Below are 21,649 nucleotides of genomic sequence, written 5' to 3' on the forward strand. Positions count from 1 at the left end.
TCAAATGTTGATTTTTGACTTTTAGTATAGAGTGTTATTTATTGCATTTAGAAAAACCTTTTTATAGCTCTAAATGTTTTTTACAAAATCAGGAATAGGCTGGGTGCGGTGGCTCCTGCCTGTAATCCCAGCACTTTGGGTGGCTGAGAGGCAGATCACTTGAGCTCAGAAGATTGAGACCAGCCTGGACAACATGGAGAAACCCCATCCCTACTAAAAATACAAAAAATTAACCGGGTGTGGTAGCACGAGCCTGTAGTCCCAGCTACTCAAGAGGCTGAGGCATGAGAACCGCTTGAACCAGTGAGCTGAGATCATGCCACTGCACTCTAGCCTGAGTGACAGAGTAAAACCCTCCCTCAAAATAAATAAATAAATAAATAAATAAATAAATAAATAAATAAAAGATTGAAAAAAAATCAGGAAGAGCTATGGGCTTTATTTAGTGTGAATTTTCAGTTTTCTGTTTCTTCCCTCTCATTAGGTCTCTCTGCTGCTCCAGCTCAGTATTACCTGCATGCTGGCCTAGAAGAAAGACTCCCTCTGCTTCTAGGTTGTGTGGGCTGGGTCATCTATTCATACAGATCCTAAATTTGCTCTAAGTCAGGGCCTGGGGGGGATCCTTGGTGGATAGTGTACACGAGACTTTGGACTTGTGCTTGTCACTTACATTTTGGCTCTGTGAGACAGTTTTTCATATTTCCGGATCCTTGTTGAAACTGGAGATCATTATAAATGAGAGGGAGATGATTTTCAGATAAGTGAGGGCCTATTGCATTAGGCAGGGTTCCTGAAAGTGTTTGGTAAATGGATGAGAATAAATGATAGACCTTAACCGCAGAGTCCCAAGACAGCTATTACTCCTTCACATTTCTGTTGTTCATAATGACAATAAACACCTCATCCCATCACTATTTGACCTTCCTCAGAAAGAACCACTGACTGTTAGAGGGAAAAATCATTTGCCACAGGTGAATGACAAATAACTTGTGACTCGCTTTGTGGTTTCTCTCTTTGAGAGATAGAAAATATTACTTTCCTGCTTTTAAGGAACATACATGTTTTAAAAGTTGATATAGAGGGAGTCCTTGCTATCTGAGATTTTATATTGGAAACCTTGCAGTTACAAAGCTTAAAGGGAAGCAAAATTCATCATAAAGAAACAAAGAAAAACATCACCAAAGACAAAATCTTGCTATAAAATTATCCGTCATCAAACATCTGAACCTGACAACTCCTTGTTTCTGCTCACCATCCATGTTTTTCCTCTCCTGTACCTCTGACTCCAGCAGTATGTCCTGCCTGGGATGCCCATCTGCCTGTTCTTCTGTCAGTCCGTCCATCCATCCATCCATCCATCCATCCATCCATCCATCCATTCATTCATTGATTCACTCAGCAGCAGTTATTGAATATCTTCTGTGTGCCAGGATCTGGGCTGTATAGGTATACCCTAGACATGTCTCAGAGTGCAGCTCAAATGCCACCTCTTCCAAGTACCAGATGCGTCCCTGATTCCCTATTCCCTGCCCTACAAAGGTGAAACTGCTCTCCCCCTTCTCTGTGTGTCCATAGCACTTCCTGGGCGCTTTCTAGATATTTAGCATTAGCTCATTAAGAATGCCTGGCAATACGACTTCTCTTTTAGAGGACAGTCCTAAGTTCTGCTAGTGGAGTTGGTGTCTTATTTGTCTCAAGAGGAGAATTGGTGTCTGCTCAGTTCTGCATCTTTCTCCATGATGCTTAGGGCTGACCCAGTTCGTGACCAACAACTAGAGTCTTCTCTTTCTCTTTTTTACATACTCCTTCTCTTCCAGGGCTAAAGTTGCTGCAGCTGATGGGCCCGCCAGGAACCCAACTCAGACCCTCATCCCTGTGCGACACACAGTAAAGATAGACAAAGACACCCTCCTCCAGGACTATGGATTTCACATTTCTGAGAGCCTTCCCCTTACAGTGGTGGCTGTCACAGCAGGTAGGGGATGACTGGGAAATGAGAAAGGAGTTTGGTTTCTTAAGGGGAAATAGCCCCAAATCTCCCCGATCTCTCTATCCTATAACAAAATGCAGAAAATCCTACCTGGGAAGTTAGAAAAGGCACACCTAATTCTGTCTTGGGCTTTGCACCTTACTTTGATGCTGGGAGGGAGGAAGCCTCAAGTGCACTTGCCGCTCCAAACCCCAGGCTCCCACTGGCCTTGGCTAGGGCGTTGCCCACCCTTGGCTCCCTGGCTGGTCTCAGGGGCAGTGAAAGTATTTGGCTAAGCTAGCCTTCCTCTTTGAACCCCACACGCTCCTAGCTGGGGATACTTTCTGGTCAGACAGTAATAGAAACCATTGATTTGTTTTCATTTGAACCTTGTGAAATACAGGCTGTACCAGGGTGGAGAGGAGCAGGTGGGGAAAGTCCAGTGCTTGTTTTCATAATTGAGGTGTGTTAATCTGGGATTCGTTAAAATGTATTGATTTCTATTTACTACACATACACACCAGAGTTTTTTAGAGATGAATGGAGTAGATTTACTGGCCAACTCTATTGATTTAGAAGGTTTCTGCTAGTTTTCTTTCTCAGGACAGTCTTCTAACATCCCTGGAAGTTGGTGATAGATGATAGGTACATTATCCATGGTTTATAAACAGGAAAATTAAGATCCACATGAGCCCAAGCCTGACTGAAGGCGGGGGAGTGAGCCAGTGCCCCTGGGAACTGGATCAGGGTGCCATTTAACTGTGCCGCTATTACACATAGAGTCTGGGTCCTCCCGGCATGAGCACCAATTACTTATTTTCTGTCCAACAGGAGGCTCTGCTCACGGCAAGCTTTTCCCTGGTGATCAGATCCTCCAAATGAACAATGAGCCTGCTGAAGACCTTTCCTGGGAACGAGCAGTCGATATTCTCAGGTACTAAATGGTCTTCCATCATCTACAGAATTGCACAGATTATCAAAGAACAAAGATGGGCAACAGGAATGGCATAACTGATCCCCTGATTTTAATAAGGCTAAGTCTCCTTTAAAGCAGCAAAAACAGCCTCGTTTTAGAGTTCCATCTATTAAAACGGCTTCTTGTTAGTGGCTGTTACAGTCCACTCTCTCTCACTTGCCTACAAAAGAGCTTGGGAGGCACAGAGTGCTGTATTTGTCAAAGCCCTGCTATGCCCAAGACACCGTGCTAAGCATGCAGGGAATGTAATGATCATAAATAACCCACAGGCCCTACCCTCTAAGGATTTATAGGCACGTTGTAACATATGCCAAAGATTGAACTAAATTGATGCCAAATCTGTTCTTCTTTATCCCTCTTGATATATCTTCTTAAATATAATTGCAGGTGCATCTTGGTTGGCATATATGTAGTTTCATTGATGTAGCACCTCCAAACCTTCTGTCTGGTGTCATTGTGACTTATGAAAATGCCTCGCTTTTTACCTAGACAATGATTTCCTGAGACCAGGGCTCAGTGGGTGCTCAGTTAAATGAGTGAATATGGTTAGCGCTGGGAATTGGCAACCCAGACTTTAAGACGGAGGAGTGCCATTGATAGGAGTGAAGAGGACAAGCAGACATTTTAAGGGCACATGAAGCTTTGGCTTTTAAATTTTTCACTCAACATTGTTCTAATGACTAGTATAAAGACAGACGAGAATCAGAGGTAGATGAAAGCTAACTTGAAGAGATATATATATATATATAAAATTCAGTTTGTGATTTTTCATGAATGGCTGATCTGGCTTTGGGGTGGTATTAATTGTTTTTTTTTCCCTTTTTTTTTGAGATGGGGACTTGCTGTGTTGCCTAGGCTGGTCTCAAACTCTTGGGCTCAAGTGGTCTTCCCATCCCAGCTACTCGGGTGGCTGAGGCAGGAGAATCGCTTGAACCCGGGAGGCAGAGGTTGCAATGGGCCACGATTGTACCACTGCACTCCAGCCTGGGTGACAGAACAAGACTCCATCTCAAAAAAAGAGAGAAAGAAAAAGAAAAGAAAAGCCAAGGAAATACACTGTAAATGCTGGAGAGTCCTCCAACTTGGGCAGAAGTTGTAGGCTGACAAAACAGAGAAGGGCCCAGAAATATTTCAGTTGTGTCTTTAATGCTGGGTAAAATTTGGTCCAAAAGATGGAGGTGAAGGGTGATTCAGGCAAAGAGGTAAACAGAAGCAACTGGGTGGGAAGTAGGGGCTGCTGAGCAGTTCAGTTTGCCTGCAGAAAAGTTCTAGGAAGTGAAGTCCAGATGATAGAAGGTCTTGAATGCCAGCACAGCATGTTTCAGTGTGATTCTCCCCCTGGAAGGGCGAGCAGTTGAAGGCTTCTGAGCAGGGATGCATGACTTGAGGTGTGCTGTGCATCTGTACCCTCTGCTGTCTTTTGCATGTGAGAATCCCAGGACGCCTTACTTTTTTTAAGCTTAGTTCCCAGTGTCTAAAACCAGCATGTATTATTCAGTGTCACGTGTAAAAGGTAAAACACAAAGCAAAACAAAAAGATACAACAACAATGCCAAGAAAACATCTCAAATTCCTCCAAATAGCTATGAGGCCAGTATGTCCTTTTAGAGCACTTGCATTTGGGTTTATTGTGATTTATCTCAGAAAAGGCCTGTTCTCATTTAAAATGGAAAAGAGGAAGTCCCTAGACACTTAGACATCTTGGGTTGAGTTTATCCTTTTGAGGAAATAACACACCAGCAGCAATTGGCCTAAATGTTCATATTGCAAGAAGTCAAATGAAATTATTTTGCCAACTGCTTCTCCATGGTAGCAGTGGCAAAGAGAAAGGAAAATATGATCGATTTTCTCTGTTCTGGCCGCTAATATAAAGTAGAGGTCAAGCAGTTATCTGCTTGATTTGATCACTTTTGAAATCTAAGAGATAATGCAAGACAAAGATGTCTACTATCTTGATTATATGATTGGGCTCATTACACCGACTTTGTGTGCCCAAACACCATAAACTCTTTGGCTTTTATCTGATAAACGTTATCCACAGACATTCATTCTGTTTAGTGAAATGTTTAGCCTGAGTTTTATGAAATAGCAACCTGAGTTATCTGTGTTATTGCCATATTTTCTCCTAAAAAATTTTTTTGGGTTGGGCACGGTGGCTCACACCTGTAATCCCAGCACTTTGGGAGGCCGAGGTGGGCAGATCACCAGGTCAGGAGTTTGAGACCAGCCTGACCAACATGGTGAAATCCCATCTCTACTAAAAAATTAGCTGGGTGTGGTGGCGGGTGCCTGTAGTCCCAGCTACTCGGGAGGCTGAGGCAGGAGAATTCTTTGAACCCGGGAGGCGGAGGTTGCAGCAAGCCAAGATTGCGCCATTGCATTCCAGCCTGGGCAACAGGGCAAGACTCTGTCTCACAAAAAAAAAAAAAAAAAAAAATTGGGGGACATAAATCTAGCTGGTTGTCACTGGATGAGTTCTTCATTGTATAGGACTAAATTAAGGCTAAGTGCCTTAATTAATGTTGTGGCTGTAGATATAGACTAGATGGTAGAGGTGAACTTACGAAAATTCCCTCCAGGTGGGAGGAGCTCTCTGGGTCAGCTTAAGTTCCTTTGCAGGTTGCTGCATTTCCCAATATCTTTCTCAGTTTTGCTGAGCCAAAAAAGCTAAGGCAAAGGAGGCTGCTTTATACTCATTCTGCCAGTCTTTTTGACCCTAACACACATGCTCACACATGTATGCATGCACGTGCATCCATCACGCAGAACGACTAAATGTTTTTGTCTTTATTCTTTCTTTTTTCAGGGAAGCAGAAGATTCTCTTTCAATCACAGTTGTTCGCTGCACGTCGGTAAATCTCTTTCTATGTCCTGTGTGTTAGTTTCACCATTCTTGGCCCTAAGACCCTGTTCCCCCAGAGGATATCCCTCATAAAGTAAGCGGGGAAGGCAAAGGGTGGAGGGTGACAGCTGCCCGGCAGTGGGTGGCCAGTCAGTCCATGTTATCTGAAGACCTCCTCCATGCAAGTACTGTGGAGGAAACAGATATGGTGAAGGCCTCAAGAATTTATGGTCCAGCTGAGGAGATGGACCTATGGCTATGCACAGTAGGATGATGGTAAGGGCACCAAACTGGAGTTTCAAGACAGGTTTGAGTGGTATGACTTTGGGAAAATCATTTAGTTTCAGTTTTCACTTTTGTAAAATAGTCATGACAATAACTGCCTTGTCTGTTTAATGGGTTGTTAGAAGGACCAAATGAGATGTTGGATATGAAAGTATTTTATCAGCTCTGAGGCTCACCACACGGCAAGGTGTGGCATAGATGATGCACAGGGAGGAAGCGGCAATCCTAAACCACCACAGGCCGAGGAGCTCCTTATGTATTATTTAGGGAAAGTATATAATCAAATTTTCAAAGGAAAAACTACTAAGGAGATAGTTTTTCAAAAGTTGATAGAAAATTTTCATTGTGAGAAATTTTAATAGTACTTCTTAGCCTTGGCCACAAATAGACCAAAATAAAAAAGAGGGGCATAGAGAATTTGAATAATGTACTTAATAATCTAATTTAATTGACCACATACCAGGCTACCAAGAAAACTCAATAAATTCCCCAAATGAAAAACTGTGCAGGTCCCTTTTTCCGAATATAATAAAATAGAAGCTAATAACTATTAAAAATTCAATTAAAAACCATTCAGCCATTTGGAAATAAAAATGTAATTTCCTAAGTAAAGATTGAGTCAAATAGAAAAAGAAAAACTATCATTATAGACTATTTAGAAAATAATTGAAAATTAAAACTGTACTTCTTTTATTTTTTCTTGAGATGGAGTCTCACTCCCGTCGTGCAGACTGGAGTGCAATGGCGTGATCTCAGTTCACTGCAACCGCCACCTCCTGGGTTCAAGTGATTCTCCTGCCTCAACTTCCCAAGTAGCTGGGATTACAAGCACCCACCACCATGCTGAGCTAATTTTTGTATTTTTAGTAGAGACAGGGTTTCGCCACATTGGCCAGGCTGGTCTTGAACTCCTGACCTCAGGTGATCCACCTGCCTCGGCTTCCCAAAGTGCTGGGATTACAGGCGTCATCCACCATGCCAGGCCAGAACTGTACTTCTTAAAAGTAATTATGTGCAGTTGAAGCTACACTCAGAGTAAAATTCATGGCCTTGAGTGTTTTTATCATTTAATACAGAAGTAAATCAATTAAATATTCAGTGCAAGAAGTTAGAAGAAAAGATTAATAAAACAAACATAAAGCAGAATAAAGTAATAAAAATTAAAATATAAATGATCCTCTGGAAAACAGAAAGATTGTAATGTTGTTAAGTCCAAAAGCTATTTCTTTAAAGACAAAAGTTATATAAAATACAAAAACCTTAAGGGAAAGAGATATGGGAGTCTCATGTGGAGGAAACTAGACTATTACTGACATATATAAAAAAATAACATAAAAGGAGATACATACTATGTTCCTTGATGGGGAGACTAAGTATTATTAATATATCAGTTATTATATTAATATATATACTTAATACAAATTCAAGCAAACTCTTACGGGACTTTCATTTGGATTTAACAAAGTATATCAAAGTGAGACTTATCTCAAGAAAACCTTTTTTAAAAAGGATAATGAGGATGGCCTTGATAGGCAGGTTTAAAAACGAACAAAGCTACAATTATTAAAACAGTATGATATTGGTGAAATGTTGAACATGTCAATGTAATCAGATAAAAAGTTCAAGAGTAGATGCTAGTATAGGAACATAGTATGTGAGGCTGGGTGCAGTGGCTCATGCCTGTAATCCCAGCATTTTGGGAGGCTGAGGGTGGCGGATAGCTTGAGCTGAGGAGTTCAAGACCAGCCTGGGCAACATGGCAAAATCCCATCTCTACAAACACAAAAACAAAAACAAAATGATTATAGCTGGCAGGGGCTTAGGTGAGAGAATCGCTTGAGCCCAGGAAGTCGAGGCTGCAGTGAGCTGAGATCGCACCACTGCACTCCAGCCTGGGTGACAAGGTGAGACCGTATATATATATATATGTAGAGAGAGAGAGAGAGACCATATATATAGAGAGACCTATATATATATGACCATTTATATATAACTATATATAGTGTGTGTGTGTATATATATGTATATAGTTTGTGAAAAACATAGCATTCCAAATCTGTGGGAGAAAAGGCAATTATTCAAGAAATCAAACTTGGACATTTGTTTAAGTATTTGGAAAAAATACAGTCTCAACTCTAAAAATACAAACAATATGGATGGATGTCTGTCTGGTCATAGGCTGTAGAAAGGTTGCCTACGCATTTAGGGCGTGGAAGGAAGCACAGTGGAACAAAGGTGATTTGATTACATGAAAATATAAACCTTCTGTGGTCCAAACACTTCATAAACTAGAAAGCAGAGAAAGTGTTGTCTCCTCTCTGTATTTGACAAATGTTATCTTTTGTTTTTATTTCTTGGAAATAGAGTAGGAAAAAACCTACCTAATGAGGATGAAGATGTTTGCCATAAATATGTCAGACCAAGTATTTTAGGTATCGATAAATGGAAGTTCTTCTATTCTTAACAGAATTTGTCTATTAAATAATGTGAAACCAATATGGAAACAGGGAAATCTAATCAGTATAAATGGTAGTGAAGGTGTTAGGTCCTTTTTGTTTAGCTGGTTATCATCTCATTGGAGAGTATCTTAATCTTAATCAGGCAGGTTTTTTCCTGATCTGTTTCCAAGAAATGAGCAAAAGAAAATACTTAATGTAGGGAGCAAGGGCAACAGCATAGAGCTGAATCCTTTAAATAATAAAAAGTATGGGAAGGTAAAAATTGGTATGTGTCCAGTACCACTCCTGAGATTCCTACAAGATTTCCAGGAAGAGAGGAACGTGCTCTGGAGGTCTCTCAGGGAGAACTGGCATTAGCCCAGTCTGTGGCCACCAGTGCCTCTGAGAAATGCCCTAAATATTGGCTAGCCTGCTCCTGGGCCTCTCACCAGAACTGCTCCGAAGAAGTTTATTTTATTTTATTTTATTTTATTTTATTTTATTTTATTTTATTTTGTTTTGTTTTATTTTATTTTATCTTATTTTATTTATTTTTGAGATGAAGTCTTGCTCTGTCACCCAGGCTGGAGTGCAGTGGCGTGATCTTGGCTCACTGCAACCTCCGCCTCCTGGGTTCAAGCAATTCTCCCACCTCAGTCCCCTGAGTAACTGGCATTACAGGCATGCACCACCACGCCTGGCTAATTTTTATATTTTTTGGTAGAGGCAGGGTTTCACCATATTGGCCAGGCTGGTCTTGAACCCCTGACCTCAAGTGATCCGTCTGCCTCGGCCTCCCAAAGTGCTGGGATTACAGGTGTGAGTCACTGCGCCTGGCCCTGAAGAATTTTAAAAACATTGCAAAATGATCATATATGTCTTGCTTTAGCAAGGAGCCTCATTGTTGTCGTGGTAGATTCTTGGAGTCCTCAGATTACTTGAAATTGATTAGGAATGATAAAATCCACAGTTGCAACATTAATCACTGCTTCCCTAGAACGTAGAATTTTATGAAAATGTTCTGGTTTAAATTTGTAGATCTGTATTGTCTATATTCATTGTCTATAATACATTAATTATTTGTAATAATATTAATACCAGTATTTATTGTCTTATTTAATTTGCACCAAAAGGAAATGCTACGAGGAAGATACACTCATTATTCCCCTTTTACAGATGAGGATGCCATGGGCCTCACACGCCCATGGTCTCACATGCAGAAATCAGTGAAGTTGGGTTGCTTTCCAGGTAGACTCCGGAACCCACATTCCTTAGTGATATGCTGTTGTACCTCTGTAAACCCTGCTGCCTTTGTGAGTGACATTGTGTAGCCCAGGGCAGAGGGTATTGCCAAAAGATACAGGAATGTTTTCCAACGTGTCCCTTTTCAGTGCCCTTTTAAACATTAACTCTTAGTTCAGCGAAAAACATGCACAAAGAGATTTTATCAGCTGAGGTCTGCTGCTTTGTGATGAATTAATTTAGAATCCAGAGAGAGCTTAGAAGTTCTAGAATAATGAGTAGCTCATATCCTTTGAATTGTCTCTTTAAAATATGAGATGGCTGAAGTGGGTGTAAGTAGGTGGTTTATAATATGTTCTAGATGCCAAGATATTCATGGTAGCAGAGCTGATGTTCAGGTATAAAAGTACGGGAGCCACAGTGGGGCCTGTGTGTTGGGCATTTTCATGTCAGCATTTTTTTTTCCCAAAGCAGCCAGTTTCATGGTTGGGTGGTTCCAAATGTAAGAACGGCCCTTCTTCCCTGTGACTCCCACCAAGTAGCTCGGAGCAAGTCCACTTTGTATGAAATGGCAACGATTTGGAAGAGTGACCTTCTCTAGGCTAAACAACTGTGCCGTTGACCATTCCTCATAGATGGGTTTTCCTGAATTTTCACTTCTCTGAGAGCTTTCGGGACAAGAGTCCAATTTTATGGTGACCCTCCCAAATAGTGGCACCCAGAAAGGAACACAGTTCCACCAATGACCAACCAGTGCTGAGTACCATGGGGAGTGGACATGCACCAAGAACGCTAGTAAAGCCCAAGATTGGGTTAACATTTTCGCAGGCTCAATCACACTGTCGGCTTGGGTGAAACTGGTGACCAACTAAATACTGAGCTGGTTTTCCAAGGGATAGCTTCCAAGCCACGTCCCTTCAGTTCCATGCTTGTGCAATTGAATTGAATTCTGTGCAATTGATTTTTTGGATGCTCAACACCACACTTCACATTAATCCCTGTCATGTTGCTTTTGCCCAGTGTTCTGGCATGCTGAGATTTTACAGTCAGGGAATTGTGGGGCTGAAAGGCTTATTTGTACAGTTGACAGCTGTAGTCATTTTCCAATGACTTCCTGTCAGGGAACCTCCTCTTCCTAAGTCTACCCCAGTTCCTTCAGTTTCCTGCCAGTTGATTTTCTTGAGCATGATCCAGCTCTGGGCCTAATTCTTCCAGGATTTATCTCCCGAAGGTGAGAGACAACAGTGTTTTCTTCCTGCAGATTCCTTTTCTCTCTGCATCTCTCCTCTGTTCTGCCCCTGATTTTTTATTCCTTTGAGTCTTTGGGGGGTTGGTGGTTGTACCTGTTGCTTTGACCACTCACTTTATCTTGTTCCCTGCAGCTCTTGACAGCCCAGCTCCTTATACCCTCTTATATTTGTTTTTAGTGATTTCCTGGCCTTTGACCCATAGCTATCTCTGGTCCTTAAGTTTCTCATGCACCCTCTTTTAGATTCCCAGTTCCTTGACCTTGCCCCCCAAATTCTTGCTGCCTGATATCTGATGACACCTTGCAGCTCTGTCCTTCACAGGTTTGGCAAGTTCACTCTCTGGGGCTTCAACCAAGGCATTGCTAAATATCACTGTTGAGGATTGAGACTAAGTTACTTAGTTAGAAATCAGGACTATTTTGAGTATATATATCAACTAGTTTATGAATCCACCTAATGGCACTGCATCTGGCCTTTTCCACAGGGGGATTATAGGAGACCTTATCAAATGCTTTGCAAGAATGAAGGAATACTACTATATCCATAGAACCCTGGTCTACCAATATGGACTTCTCTCTTCAAAGGAAAAATGAACTTGATTGGCTCTGACTTGTTCTTGGTAACTCCATATTGGCTGTTAGTGATCACTGTCTAAAAGCTCTCTGACTATCTCTTATCTTGGATTTTGCCGAGAAAAAAAAAATATATATATATGTATGTGTGTGTGTGTATGTGTATATATGTGTGTGTGTGTGTGTGTGTGTGTGTGTATATATATATATTTTTTTTTTTTTTTTGAGATGTAGTCTTCCTCTGTCATCCAGGCTGGAGTACAGTGGTGCAATCTCGGCTCACTGCAACCTCCACCTCCTGGATTCAAGCAATTCTCCTGCTTCAGCCCCCCGAGTAGCTAGGACTAAAGGCATGCACCACCACGCTCGGCTAATTTTTGTATTTTTAATAGAGATGGGGTTTCGCCATGTTGGCCAGGCTAGTCTCAAACTCCTGGCTTCAGGTGATCTGCCTGCCTCAGCCTCCCAAAGCGCTGGGATTACAGGCAGGAGCCACTGCACGCAGCCTGATTTTGCCAAGAATTAACGACAAACTAATCAATATGTGTTTTCCTAAATCCTCCATGTTCATTTTCCGGAAAACTTGATATTTGACCATCTTTAGTCTCCTAACATTTCTTCCATTCTCTGTTCCGTGGATGATACCAACTGTTACATATTATAGGTCCACAAGCCCCCTAGATTCAAGAGGTATGGGAGTCTTCAGCTCATTCGAAGCAATCTGATAGTCTTATCACTAATTTTGGGTTGGAACTTTTTCTTTCTCTTATTCCTCCTATCCCTTCTGTTATTTCTACAGGTGTACTTCTTCTCTGCAAACATTATTATTTCCCTGCTTTTCTACTAATTTTTTTTGTTTTAAAGCAAATTATATATTTGAGATGTTGAGTCATAGTCATGAATCCTGTCATGCCAAGGTTCTAGTTACCCATGAGAATCACATTTATCTTTTTGCATTAAAATTTCAGGGCAACTTGTTCACTTCATGTACTTCATGGCTTCGGTCTGTTGGTGTTTGAGTCTATGAACACTGTTTCCAACAGTTTCCCTGATTGTTGTTATGTATCTCTTCTCCCATCTTCACAGAACGTGGCCCAGAGTTTCATCTTGGTACTTTTACACATGGAAACATTCTAGAGGCTGGTCTAAAGGACTGTCCACACCAAGGGAACATAGGCTGTTAGGCTGGAAAATAGTGTATCAGGATTTCATCCAGGAAGGTCACAGCCTGTTGGTCTAGAAGATCATGTAAGATGCTATTCAGCAAGTGTCACAAGTTGGCCTGATACAATCTAGTCCAAAGTCTTCACCATATACTCATACCAACCTGTGATGACTCTCTTTACTTCTTTGGGAAAAGAAGGTACCTTCCAAAAGATAAGAGCGAAGTGGAGCCAAGGGTAAGTCATAAGGGTCAGAGTTTCAGGGAACCCCGTCTAACTCCTATATTGTGTAGATGGGAAGACTCTGAAGGCCAGAGAGCGGCAAGGACTGGACCAAAGTCACACAGTTATTTTGTTGTGCTTTACACACGTACCTGGTTTTCTTTCATAAGAATTTGAGTTTGAGATAGTTCTCACAACTATTGAGCAGTAAAACATGAGTTGGAATTCAGATAGTCCCATTCACAGGCCAGAACTCTTTGTCTTCATCGTATCACAGCTATTTTGCTACCATGTTGAATGTCCAACTATTCTCAGGTACACGAGAACATTATCTGGCTTGGGATCCCTAGATTTTATGAAAATACCTATAATGGGATATCATCCTTTCCTGTGGGTTTAAATTGAATCTGCAACAGCTATCAAAGTTTCTGTTTTTAAGAAATGAGAAGATAGATATACCTGGCTTTTATGAAAGCACTGTTCCAAAATGCATCATGTTACTGTTTTTCAGGGAGTCCCTAAATCGTCCTTCCTGACCGAGGAGAAGAGAGCCAGACTGAAGACCAACCCCGTGAAGGTGCACTTTGCTGAAGAAGTGCTCATCAGTGGACACAGCCAGGTGTGTCACTAGTCAAGGGATTGAAATTATGAAGCTGGCGAGCTGCCTTCTGGCACATAACTCCCTGAACCTCTGGAATTCCACAGCACAGAGGGTGCAGAGGAAGTGCAGTGTGTTTGCAAGAGGCTTTGTGCGCCCTCCCAGTCAGATGCCTGCAGACCCTGGACTGGGATTGCTGGTGGGAGCTCTGGGCCATGGGTGGGGACTGGGAAGAAGAGCACTGGGTTTGGCCCTCTATTGTTCTGTGACTCCATTCTTCTGCCCATGAAATTTCGACAAATTCCAATAGTTAATTTCTCGTTATGCATCTTCAAATTTATTATCCTCTCTGAGGGTGATCTATTGATAATGGTGCCGGTGGTGATGGGATTGCTTTTTAGTTTTAAGAGTCCATCATCTATTGAACCTCTATTATGTGACCTAAACTTTGTGTGTACAGTCCTTAGACATCACAATACCCTGCAAGGGAGGTGTTTTAACAAAAGAGGAAGCAGAGGCCTAGAGAGATTAAGAGACTTAACCTCTAAGATCACATGGTGAGAAAATGCAGGAGCCCAGGTCCATGTGACTTTGGTTCTTTGGTTTTTCACTATGACGTGCTGTCTAGTCCTTTTTGATATGGAGGGACCCAGGGTTGGGGGTTCAGAAGACAAATTTGTAAAGGGAAAATGTTGGCTAGAGTTTGATTTTAATGTGGAGTGTTGGATAAAAGGCTCATTTATTCATAATTTATACATTTTCCCCCAGTAGTCTATAACTATTGCCATTCTGAATTTCTTAATATTAGACTTTGAAACTTCAAAGTTGAAACTTGTCCTTTTCTGGTCTTCTCACCATAGAGACCAGCAAAGGCCGGGGGAGTCACAGGGGGTGGGGGCTAAGGCCATTTTAACAAAGGATCCAGGTGACATGGTCCACATCTACAGAGCCCTTATTTTCTACCTGCCCTGCTACTTAATAGAGCACACCTTTAGATAGACTTGAGTGAGAAAGGTGGACTTGTTCAGGAAGGGGCCAGTGGGAGGCCTAATGCATGACTTAGAAAACACCTGTCAGTTGGCAATATTTGAGTCATGTTTGTGAAATTGGATTGAGTCTCTTTAGAAAATTAAGTTTAGATTCTGCTGGGCGCGGTGGCTCACGCCTGTAATCCCAGCATTTGGGGAGGCTGAGGCAGGCAGATCTCGAGGTCAAGAGATCAAGACCGGCCGGGGGCGGTGGCTCACGCCTGTAATCCCAGCACTCTGGGAGGCCGAGGCGGGCAGATCACAAGGTCAGAAGATCGAGACCATCCTGGCTAACATGGCGAAACCCCATCTCTATTAAAAAATACAAAAAATTAGCCGGGCGTGGTGGTGGGCACCTGTATGTAGTCCCAGCTACTTGGGAGGCTGAGGCAGGAGAATGGCGTGAACCCAGGAGGTGGAGCTTGCAGTGAGCCGAGATCGCGCCACTGCACTCGAGCCTGGGCGACAAAGCCAGACTCCATCTCAAAAAAAAAAGAGATCGAGACTATCCTGGCCAACGTGGTGAAACCACATCTCTACTAAAAATACAAAAATTAGCTGGGCATGGTTGTGCGTGCCTGTAATCCCAGCTACTTGGGAGGCTGAGGCAGGAGAATCACTTGAACCCGGGAGGCGGAGGTTGCAGTGAGCCGAGATTGCGCCACTGCGCTTCAGCCTGGCGACAGAGTGAGACTTCGTCTCAAAAAAAAATTAAGTTTCGATTCAACACATGACTCTTCATTTCAAGAGTCATGCACAGTGATGAGTAGTGAGGGTGAGAACCAGCTAGCAGGACAGGGACAGAATAAAGGCACGACAGGTGTGGACAGGGTCACCTGGTTGATTTGTAAAAATGGCCATGACCTCCCATTCACTGCTGTCTATGCTGAGGGGACCAGATAAGAACAACTTTCACCTGAACTGGCTACAGAACTGGCTCAGAGTTTTGGTTGGGGAGTTTAAAGGAACAGGGTTCTAAAAAGGTGTCTCCAGGAAGACTTGGAAGGTTGGGGCACCTCGGGGAATCTTTGGGAGTCTGCATCAGCCACATAAGGCAGAGATAGCAAAACAAGTAAGAGTTCATCCCTGTGACCTGTCTATTCATCCTTTCAAGTGTTTCAAAGATGATAAAATTGGCTGTTAAACTTTTCCCCTTGGAACATGATAAGACTGCCTTAGATACACAATCACTGTATTAAGAAGGATCTGAGATAGTAAACCAACATTTGAAATATGTTTGACTTTGCTCACAGTTAAACAAATACAAAGAAAAAATATTAAAAAGTAAAACTTTATACTTAGCAAATGAGCACAAATAGAGAAAAAATGTAAGCCCTGATGCTGAGAAAGTAATTATAGTCATGCACTACTGATGGCTTTATAAATTGGCTTAAACTTTTTTGAGTGGAAAAAAAACAAAATTTAATGACTGCTATAAAAAATGACCCAGAGATTGCATTCCTGTTAGTCTATACAATAATTTAAATGTGAAAATCCATATATTTAAAGATATCTATAGTATCAACATTTTAAATAGCTCCCAAAATGGAAAAACATGCTCAATTGTCTAGGGCAGAGGAATTGTGAAATCAGTTCTGATATTTCAACTCAATAGAATATTATAAATCCATTAAAATTATGAACATTAAGCCCACCTAAAAATTGTATATGAAATGCATATTGGGTAGAAAATAAACATAGAGTCATGCATATTAAATTATTGCAGCTCTCTAAAAACTATTTACAGATATAGATAAAAATTGGAAAAAGCCTTAGGGAAAAGTAAGTGGTGGTAGTTATGTAATGTTGCTATGAATATATTCTTTGTAAACCTTTTAAATCACAAAGAAAGTACTAAGGAAAAAATTTCCCACTGGGAAACCCCAAAATTAAGATTTGTAAACACTCAGAGCCAGAGAAGTAAGATGGCAGCAGAGTAAGCGGTCTGAAATCCCTCATCCTGATGTAGTGTGAAATGGCACTGGAATATGAACATCTTCCTTTTTCCTCCATAAAAATACTGTGGTTTTTTAAAATAAGTTATAGACCCAGGAGACAGAGGCTGCAGTGAACCGAGACTGTGCCACTGCACTCCAGCCTGAGCAACAGGGTGAGACTCTGTCAAAAAAAAAAAAAGAGAGAGATGATTGTGAGTCTTGCTTAGAAGATACAAACACCTTTATATTTAGAAGATTCAATATTCTCATCTGAAAAAACTGGAAGTTGTTTGTTTGTTTGTTTAAGATGGAGTTTTGCTCCTGTCGCCCTGGCTGGAGTGCAGTGGTGTGATCTCGGCTCACTGCAACCTCCGCCTTCCAGGTTCAAGCAATTCTTCTGTCTCAGCCTCCAGTGTAGCTGGGACTATGGGTGTGTGCCACCACGCCCGGCTAATTTTTGCATTTTTAGTAGAGACAAGGTTTCACCATGTGTAGGCTTTATACCCAAACTCTTTATAGAGATGAGTGCAGGGGGGCAATTCTAGCTCAAATCTTGGGAACTCTAAAATTTCTCTGTGCTTCTGGAGGACACCAGCCCCACGGGCCCTTTGTATTTGCAACCAAACACTCAGAATCACTTCTTTTTTTTTTCTTTTTTTCTTTTATTATTATTATACTTTAAGTTTTAGGGTACATGTGCACAATGTGCAGGTTAGTTACATATGTATACATGTGCCATGCTGGTGTGCTGCACCTATTAACTCGTCATTTAGCATTAGGTATATTCTTACGAGAGCTGGGAGATTCTCCAAAACCCTCTCCTGCTCCATCCCAGGAGTTCTAGCTGGCATGGGGCCACCCAACACAGACCAGTCCTGTGCCTTTTCCCCAAATAGCCCTACGAGAGTGGCAGAGTCCCTTAGGGGACCTCATGCATCTAGGGTGATAATTGGGGTGAATGTAGTGGAGAGCATCCCTCTGCCCTTTGGTGATATTTCATTACAGGGAATGCAGCAATAAAATGAGGGTAGGAGAGGCTTCCCTACCCTCTCCATCCCACCCCAATCCTACAAGGTAGAGTCTAAGAATCTCTGAAAGGCCCATGTTGAACAGTGTGCATGCTGGTCATCTGGCTTGCCAAATTGCCTCCCATAAGGGTACAGCCAGCAGTAAAACGTGAGCTGATGGTCATGAGACATTGCACAGGCTCGCGCAGTGCTATCAGTACGCTCGTAGAAGGGCTCACTCTTCTCCACCGTTTGTCGTATCTAACAGTCCTCATGGGTATCCCTTGACAAAGCATGCCTGTGCATTGAAGAAATTCCCAAGTGCCAAGAAAGAACCCCTGACATGGTGAGGAGGTTAGGGAGGATCCTACTCTCCAAACCAGGCAGGTCCAGACAGCCAAGGATTTGTCATACCCAGGGGCAGGAAAGCTGTGACTGGGATACAACAGGCCAGGCATGGTGGCTCACGCCTATAATCCTAGTATTTTGGGAGGCCAAGTCAGGCGGATCACTTGAGGCCAGGGGTTCGAGACCAGCTGGCCAACATGGTGAAACCCTGTCTCTACTAAAAATACAAAAATTAGGCTGGGCACAGTGGCTTAGGCCTGTAATCCCAGCACTTTGGGAGGCTGAGGCGGGTGGATCACCTGAGGTCAGGAGTTCAAGACCAGCCTGGCCAACATGGTGAAACCCCATCTCTACTAAAAAAAAAATACAAAAATTAGCTGGGCATGGTGGTGTGTGCCTGTAGTCTCAGCTACTCGGGAGGCTGAGACAGGAGAATTTGCTTGAACCCAGGAGGTGGAAGTTGCAGTGAGCCAAGATTGCACCACTGCACTCCAGCCTGGGTGACAGAGTGAGACTCTGTCAAAAAAAATAAAAAAAATAAAAAAAAATAAAAGCCAGTCGTGGTGGCAGGTGCCTGTAATCCCAGCTATTTGGCAGGCTGAGGTGGGAGAGTCGCTTGAACCTGGGAGTCAGAGGTTGAGTGAGCCGAGATCGTACCACTGTTCTCCAGCCTGGGTGACAGAGAGAGACCCTGTCTCCAGAAGGAATAAAAAAAGACAGGGATACAACAATACTCTTGTGTTTTCCAGGGTAATTCTCTGCTGTGTATGCCCAACGTGCTCAAGCTATACTTGGAGAATGGACAGACCAAAGCTTTCAAGTTTGAGGCAAACACAACCGTGAAGGTATTAAGAATAAACTTGAACTTCTTTTCCCAAGAAGAATGTTCTGGCTGCTAGGACCCCCCAGGCATCTTGCCCTGCATCTGCCTTGGTGGTCTCACAAACACCGTGGTCTGAGCCCCTGTAATAATAAGCCAGGTGCCATGTTATCTCATTTCGTTGCACGACCACCCAGAAAGATGGTCTTTTTACCACCATCGTAACTGGGTGGGGGTTAAGGGGTGGGAATCGGGACTTAGAGAGATGAAGTGACTTGCCCAAAGGTCAGATTAGAACTCCTAAGCCTTCACCCATAACCACCAGGCTTCCCTGCCATTTGTCTGTGACTCTACCTGCTACGCCAAACACTACGAAAACCCAGGTGAGATGTCAGGAAAGGCCCAGGCGCTGCCTATTCTGTTCTTGGTTAAAGTCAATTGAACTTATACTTCACAAGTTTCCCCATATGAGATGATCTGAGAGGGGTTACTGAGCTTAGTCAGGGGTGGTCTCGATCTTCAGGAGCTTGCAGTCTAGTTGAGGGACGGTGGACGTTCAGGGAATGCTTGATTGTCCAAGGCAGGATGAAATAAGGGCCAAGTGCAAGGGGAAGAGTACCATCTCTTCCAGCCTGTCCAGACTTCAGACAAGGCATGGGAAAGAAGCTGGACCTGCGCTGAGCTTTGGAGGATAACTAAGATTTCAACAAGGGCCAGTAGGGACAGGGCAGTTGAGGGTAGGGTACATATCAATCAGAGAGTCACGTGAACTAATGCAGAGAGCCAGAAAAATGGCAATTGCCCAGGAAATAGCAAACCATCCAGCAGGACTGGGGCACAGGCTGTTTTCTTGTGGAAGGAGTGGCTGTGGAGGGCCTCAAATGCCAGGCAACAATAGAGCTTGAGTTTTATCCATAGATAATATCGTATGGTGCTAGCAGTTCTTGAACAAGGGAGTAAATAGTGTTAGAGTGAGGCCGCAGTGAAGAAGCAAAGTTGTTCAAACAGTAAAAACCATGTAAGAGGAAACATTGAGCCCAGCTCTTCTGGTACAAGGGGAGAGCAGGTTCAGGAGGGCCAATGCAGCTATAGGGGACAAACAGTAGCCAAGACACACATGCACACACACATCTGCACAGTACATTCACACACATGCATATGCATGCACACATATGTACAATGTACATACACCTGTACGCACACATCCAGTGCTTCTCTCTGGCACCTTCATTTGGCAATTCCTACAGCTGCTCCAAATGCTCTATTCTATTTCTTCCTAAATGTGAGTTAGAAGAAGCTGGAGAAGGGCTTTCTGAACCTGGGGAACTCCAAGCCCAGAGGAGGAAGCAATGGAGGAATAGACTTTAAGTGTTTACTACATGCCAGGCACGCTTCCTGGGCACTTTCTTGTATACGATCTCATTTAATGCCCTAGCAACCTTGTGAAGTAACTAGTGTTATCCCCACTTTGCAGAAGAGAAAACAGGCCCAAGAGGCCCAAAAGCTGTCAAGATCAGCTAGCTCATAACTGGCTTTGAACTTGGTCTGTTTTTGAATCCTGTGCTGGAATCTTGTCACTCTGCCATTCTGCAGAAAAGGGAAGCTTTGCAAATGGATTAGACAAGAGTTCTACTTTCATCATCTTTGCTCAAAGTGGATTGGAATAGAAGGGTTGATTTTTTTTAAAGCAAGTCCCCCTTTGGTGGCCAAAAGGACTTTGAGGTAGTTTACAATAAAGGCCCACATTACAGGGGAATTAAACTTAAGATGACAGAGAGAGTTGGGGAAATGAACAAGGACTTAGCCAGTATAATACTGGTTAATCTTATTTATCTGTAATAGCCAAATTTTTTAAAGCAAAGTCTTTAGCTGTTTACGACACAGAGAAAGGTGGACATAAATAAATCTTATGAGTGAAAAAAGGAAAAATTACTGTCCACTCATCAGTGACTTCTCTTCCCCTTTCCCTCACTAAGGGAAGAAAAGTTCTTGTATTAGAAAACCCTCTTTCTCTAAACCAAGAAAAAGAATATGTCATTTGACCCAGTAAACATTTATTGACACTTTTTGTGTGCCAGGCATTTCTATATCACCAACAACTTGGCAATAAATTACCCAGGGGCCGGGTGCAGTGGCTCATGCCTGTAATCCCAGCAGTTTAGGAGGCCGAAGTGGGTGGATCAACTGAGGTCAGGAGTTTGAGACCAGCCTGGCCAACATGGTAAAACCCTGTCTCTACTAATAATACAAAAATTAGCCAGGCATGGTGGTGCAAGCCTGTAGTCCCAGCTACTTGGGAGGCTGAGGCAGGAGAATTGCTTGAACCTGGGAGGCAGAGGTTGCAGTGAGCCGAGACCATGCCACTGCACTCCAGCCTGGGCGATGAGAGCGAAACTCCATCTCAAAAAAATAAATATAAATAAATAAATAAATAAATTACCCAGGGTTATACTCTTAGGAAGCCTGAAGTCTTGGGGTGGGGCTAGGGTGAGGAGATGAGATCTGGGGACAACTCACAATGAAACGAGGTACCGGTGTGCTTAAGACCATGAAAGCGGGACAGAAGCCGTGTGGTACAGGCTCAGGGGAGAGCAAGCTTCCAGCTGGGTGCCAAATAAAGGCCTCTGGGGGAGTGGAGTGGTAGCATGTATGGTGGACTTAGAAAGATAGATTGGCTTTTGACTGGAGTGGGCCAAGAGTGATGTGTGAAGGCAACATCCGGGCACGGCGAACAACACCAACAAAGATCCAGAAATGGGCAAGTTTGACAAGTGTGTGGGGCTTGTGGGCAGAGTGCATTGGGATAAGCAGCAGAAGATAAAGTGGGAGAAGTGGGTTGGCACCTGATACCTTGAGAGTCTTGAATATTAAGCTAAGGAGTTTGGATTTTGGCCAGTGAGCCATCAAGAGCCACTGAACGTTCTTGAGCAAGGGAGAGCATGCCCAGTACAA

General features: G+C 42.9%; 1 protein-coding gene across 13 annotated transcripts in view; it reads left to right on the forward strand.

The window, feature by feature from the left end:
* Window positions 1–21,649, forward strand: part of FRMPD1 (FERM and PDZ domain containing 1) — a 143,676-nt gene that overhangs the window by 102,370 nt on the left and 19,657 nt on the right. For 6 of the 13 annotated variants that reach the window (XR_929220.3, NM_001371224.1, NM_001371225.1 and 3 more), the window contains 5 exons: window positions 1,818–1,975; window positions 2,801–2,903; window positions 5,752–5,797; window positions 13,471–13,578; window positions 18,627–18,722. Coding sequence is in view for 12 of the 13 variants with exons in the window: in NM_001371224.1 (NP_001358153.1) it covers window positions 1,818–1,975; window positions 2,801–2,903; window positions 5,752–5,797; window positions 13,471–13,578; window positions 18,627–18,722 (511 nt within the window). In the remaining variant the exon portion in view is untranslated. The other 7 variants (XM_011517805.3, XM_017014482.2, XM_024447454.2 and 4 more) reach the window with 6 other exon arrangements.

The sequence above is a fragment of the Homo sapiens genome, chromosome 9 (genome assembly GCF_000001405.40).
Source record: "Homo sapiens chromosome 9, GRCh38.p14 Primary Assembly".
Lineage (NCBI taxonomy): Eukaryota > Metazoa > Chordata > Mammalia > Primates > Hominidae > Homo > Homo sapiens.